Genomic DNA, 6,000 nt, shown 5'->3' with positions numbered 1-6,000 from the left:
TTTCTTTCAAGAGATATGGTCTCATTCTGTCACCCAGGCTGGAGTGCAGTGGCACAATAATAGCTCACTGCAGTCTTGAACTCCTGGGTGCAAGCAATCTTTCTGCCTTAGTATCCTGAGTAGTTGGGACTACAGGTGTGGGCCACCAACCCCAGCTAATTAAAAACAGATTTTTTTTTTTTTGTAGAAATGGGGTCTTACTTTGTTGCCCAGAATGGTCTCCAACTCCTGGCCTCAAATGATCCTTCTGCCTCAGCCTCCCAAAGTGCTGAGATTACAGACGTAAGCCACTGTGTCCAACCTACTATTTTCAATAAGAGCAGTTTATGAACTAAATATTTCTCACTTTCTCCTTAAATTAATACTTCTGTGTATATATATATATATATATATATTTTTTTTTTTTTTTTTTTGAAAAGTCAGACCTGACTGGGTATGGTAGCTCACGCCTGTAATCCCAACATTTGGGAGGCCAAGGTGGGTGGATCACTTGAGGTCAGGAGTCCGAGACCAGCCTGGCCAACATGGTGAAACCCTGTCTCTACTAAAAATACAAAAAATTAGCCGGGTGTGGTGGCGCACACCTGTAATCCCAGCTTCTCAGGAGGCTGAGACAGGAGAATCGCTTGAACCCAGGAGGCAGAGGTTGCAGTGAGCCGAGATGGTGCCACTGCACTCCAGCCTGGGCAATAAGAGCAAAACTCCACTTCAAAAAAAAAAAAAAGTCAGATCTAAAATAAATGTTATACCAAAATATACAAAAATTATCCCACTTAATTCTTATAACAATTTTAAAAGGCTTAATGCAGTTATATAACTTGCCAAAATGCTCAAATTGATAATAAGCAGCTGAGATGAATTTGAACCCAAGCTGTGTGAGCTCATAGCTTGGGTTGGTAACTGCCAAATTATGCCATAGAAACTCACATATGTGACAAAATCATAACCAGGTCAGGCATTCAGCTCAGTGGTAAGTGGTGACCCCTCATTAGCTATAATATTCCCATTTGGTTTTTCTGCTTTTCAAAGTCCAGATCTTTATGTTCAGCTGGTGCTCAAGTGTGGAAACTTGCCTGATAAACTCAGTCACCAGAGACCTGAAGATTTTAAGTTCTTTAAATCTACTTTTCTAAATTGGATGGCTGCATGGCTACAATTCCTATAACCCGATGTAAGACTTCAGTCTAATATAACTTTGTAGATTAATGAAGTCTACTAGGATCTTCATCTTTGCTTTTGAGAAATCATGAATTGAGCATCTGTACTGAATTTTATAGTTGAAGATAACAATTAGAATAATTTAGTTGCAAATAAAGCTTATTGGCTGGTCACAGTGGCTTACCTGTAATCCTAGCCCTTTGAGAGGCTGAGGCAGGTGGATTACCTGAGGTCAGGAGTTCAAGATCAGCCTGGCCAACATGGTGAAACCTCTTCTCTACTAAAAATACAAAAATTAGCTGGGCATGGTGGCGGGTACCTGTAGTCCCAGTTACTCGGGAGGCTGAGGCAGGAGAATCACTTGAACCCGGGAGGCGGAGGTTGCAGTGAGCCAAGATCATGCCATCGTACTCCAGCCTGGGCAACAGAGTGAAACTCTGTTTCAAAAAAAAAAAGAAAAAAAGAAAAAGAAGCTTATTTTCTGTTCTGCAATGAAGTGGTTATGGTCCTGCCTGCGTATCTCATCTTAATCACTTACTACTTTTATAGATTTAGGCAAGTTGATTAAACTCTCTGAGCTTCAGTTTTCTTTTCTTTTATTATTATTTTTTCCCCATTGGATAATAATGCCTGTCTGCCTATATTATAGGCTTTGGGAAGAATTAATGAACATACATAAAATGAATGATTGATATGATTGACGATATGCTTATTGTGGGGTCTTGAACAGAGTAAGTGTTCAATTAATGCCAACTCTTATTATTTTACCTAAATTGTCAAGATATTCACTTTGACTCTTCCCCTGTCTATAGTTTGTATGCTGTTAAAGCAAGTTTTGAACATGAGCTAGAGTTCAACAAACAGACAAATCTGAAAGAATAAGGATAGATTTTAAAATTTAATGTTTATGGCTGGGTGTGGTGGCTCAGGCCTGTAATCCCAGAACTTTGGGAGGCCAAGGCAGGCGGATCACCTGAGGTCAGGAGTTCGAGTCCAGCCTAACCAACATGGAGAAACCCTGTCTCTACTAAAGATACAAAATTAGCTGGGCATGATGGTGCATGCCTGTAATCCCAGCTATTCGGGAGGCTGAGGCAGGAGAATTGCTTGAAACTAGGAGGCAGAGATTGCGGTGAGCCAAGATCGCACCATTGCACTCCAGCCTGGGCAACAAGAGCGAAACTCCATCTCAAAAAATAAAAAATAAAAAAATAAAATTTAATGTTTATTTATTAGATTTACTGTTTATAATTCTTCTTTATAGTTTGTCCCTTTTTATTTCACCTAAAATTTGATTTGGCATTAACCACATAGTGTAGTTTGGAACAAACCTTGCTAGATACTTAGGTATACAAAAAGAGAAGGTAATCTGGCTTTAATCCTTGCAAATAAAAAGCAAGCAAAGGTAAATATTCTCAACCCCCTCAGAGTAACTTAGGCTTATGAATCATCAAGTGTAGATAATGAGAGTTTCTGTTTGAAATAAAACAGTATCGTTAATTACATCTCTTGTATCAGTTTTTTAATTTCCCAAAAATATCTGATCTATTCATTTATTTTTCCTGATTATAGCATATGCTTTATTTTTTACTGATTTAAATACAGTAATTTATACCGCATGCAGAAATCTTTTTAGATTGTTTAATATACTGCAACTTCATGAGCCCCATGGGCTAGAGTGAAGCTATATGAGAAACAGTAAAATCCCAGTGTTCTTCTGTATTTGCCAAAGAGAAATGTAGGTGGTTGTGTGTTCCCGGATTGATTTAGCATATGTCTGACCGCTTAAAGCACTTTTCAAATTATCGTTGCTCCAAATTCATATCCAGATGCTTTTATAAATTGTGTAGGTTACAATCCATCTAGTTCAAAGCCTCTAGAATAGTGTAGGTTACAATCCATCTAGTTCAAAGCCTCTAGAATGGATAATCCAATCCATTTTCTGAGAGAATTAGAAAGAAAATGTAGTGAAAAATGTATATTTTTAGCAAAATATTCTAAACAAAGTAAGTTTTTATTAACATTTCCCATAAAATCTATTAAATTTGCAGGAAACAGTAACAACAACCTTGTAACCCTGTATTCACTGCATTCTATGCATTTACCTCCAGCCAACCATCTCACAAAGGTAATCTAATCCACTGACCAAAAAGAGAACTAAGTAAGAGACTGGAGATAGAATCAGTGAAAAACATTATTGAGCAGCTTTCACTAAATGAGAATCTGGAAATGAGTAAGACCCAATATCTCCCTCAAAAGCTTACTTACAGTCAACACAAATCCATCCAACCACTTGAGAAAAATTCTTCTTCATTATGAATAAGTCGGTATATCTTTAAATGGACGCTACTAGATGGGTGTACATTAAAGATATTTTTACTCTGCTTGCACTCTTTCTTTAAAGATCTTTATCAAACATATTTAGAAAATAAAACAATATAGAAAATTATAAAGTATAAAATCATAGCTTCCAAAAACACTGTGTATCACAATCAAAAATGAAAATCATGACGTTTGTCTTCTTAAACCCATGTCATTTATCTGGTTTTTGTGTGTTTTCAATGTTTAAACATTTTAAATTCCTCCCTTCTAGAGATCTATTTTTTAACAGGTCATCTCCTTCTGCTTTAATCATTATATGCCTTGAGCTAATTAAGGTCCAAAGGTTAATGTTATCCAAAGTTATTGTTGATTCTCTGAAATAATTTACTTAAAATATTTCTGAAGACGAACATTCCACAAGACATGTGCATTGCATTAATAGGCATTGTTTCACAGAACAAAGTCTAACCAGTTACCATTTCTTATTTTAGAATCCTGATGGAACCTAGCAACTTATATAAAGTTGTCTGCTCAGCCTCAGCTGTGGGCTGCAACATAACTAATGCTATGTGCCAAATACTGTCTTACTTGTTTAATGACCATATTTCATCTTTTAAATGACATTCGATAGCAAAGAACATTAAGTCATATGAAAAAGCCTTTTACACTGGGTAGAGGTTTCTAAGCCTTCTAAAAATAAAGACTAGTCTAGGGTAGCGTCATATTTTTAATGCCCTGAGTTTGTTTTATTACACAGCTCAGCTGTTAATACTGCCAATGAGTCTCTGTTTCAAAACTGTGTCAATCTTTCAGCACCAAAATGAGGGCATATTGTCCTTCACAACGTAGCTGTTTTATGAAAGTGGGGGAAAAGAAATTCTTTCTGATTTAGTTGTACCAGCAAATTTTGTTTCTAGTTGTTATAGCTTCATTATGCATATAAACTTTTTGACGCTTTGGGGTTTTTTGTTTGGCTGAGAGTGTATTGGGAGGCAATAGAAATGTGTGTAGCTTAATTTATTGGACAGGAAATTCTGATGCATTACAAAATACTCAGAGATGTTTGTTTTGAAGATAGTAAATATAATTTAACTGAAAAACTTTGGTAATCTTTTTGTCAAATTAAACCATGGTTGTTTTGGTTTTGTTTTACAATTCTTTGTCTTTAGCAGTATTCTAATGAGAGGCCTTACAAGTGATAGCTTTTCAGGAAGCATCTTTCTTACCCAAATTTCTGCTCCTCGGGACTCAGTTCAGAGGGTGCCTGAAATCCTATAGTTCCCTTGTCAGTTTCATGCATTCTTTTGTCCCTATTAAGATATTAATAACTCAAGGCTGATTGACATATTAAGTCTTATCAGGCAGCTGGTACACTCTGGAGTCCTACTGTGAGTCTGGATACCTAAATTCATGGATAAAATCTTTTGCTTTCTTGTAACCAGAAAAATAATAGACCAAGAATGAGCCTGCTCATAAAGTATAGTGGGAGATGCAATTGTAGGGAAATTAAAACACTTTTGCTTGGAACTGACCCTATGTTTTGTTTAAAATGCTTGTTTCATTGAAAATGCACTTACTTATTTAGCATTTAGAAAATACATATTGCCACATTATAAACACAGTATTTTTAAATTCTCTGTTTTAGAGCAATTTTGCAGAATATAACTGTTAACCAGCCTCAAAGATGGCCCCCAACAATCCCTATCTCCTAGAATTCACGTCATTTCATAGTCTTCTCCTGCCCTGTACCAGGGCTAATTTACTGTGTGAGTAATAGAATATGACAGCAGTGATGATATGCCATTTCTGAGATTAAGTTATAAAAGTCTTTGTGTCTTCTGTCTTGTTTGTTCTTTTGTATCATTTGCAATGGGGAAGCTAACGTTACGTTTTAAGCACCACCTTGGAGAAGTCCATGTGGTAAGGAACTGAGGCCTCCAGCCAACAGCCACATGAGTGATCTGGGAAACAGTTCCTCTACCTCAGTCAAGCCTTCAGATGACTGCAGTCCCAATAACATTTTTACTGCAACTTCATGACCCTGAGCTGCAGATTAGCCACTCCCAGATCTCTGATCCTCAGGACTCTGTGAGATAATAAACACTTGTTGTTTTAAAACACTAAGTTGTGGAACAATTTGTTATGTGCTATAGATAACTCACACAATTACCTACACATCATTTACTGTGAAAAATCCATAGACTAAAATACCCATGAAACATTATAACTTAGCATGAAATTCCTGCCAGATAAAGAAGTATAAACTAGGTCTGGTAAAACTCAAATGGTTACAAAGGCCAGGCAAGTGGGGACCATGGGGAACTGAAGACCATTTTCTAGGTCTCTGTAAGGATAGAAACAGCTCTAGACATTTGTTGCCATGTGAGAATTTGGATTGCAGCATTGCCAGATCTTTTGATTTTTCAAGGTAGTACACATAGGTTGGATTAATCTCTTCCCAAGCATCCATTATACCCCAGATAATTAGTCCAAGCTGATCCTAGGATGTTTATCCTCCCT

Source organism: Homo sapiens, chromosome 4 (genome assembly GCF_000001405.40).
Source record: "Homo sapiens chromosome 4, GRCh38.p14 Primary Assembly".
Lineage (NCBI taxonomy): Eukaryota > Metazoa > Chordata > Mammalia > Primates > Hominidae > Homo > Homo sapiens.
The sequence above is the reverse complement of the archived record's forward strand: the minus strand, read 5'-3'. Positions refer to the sequence as shown.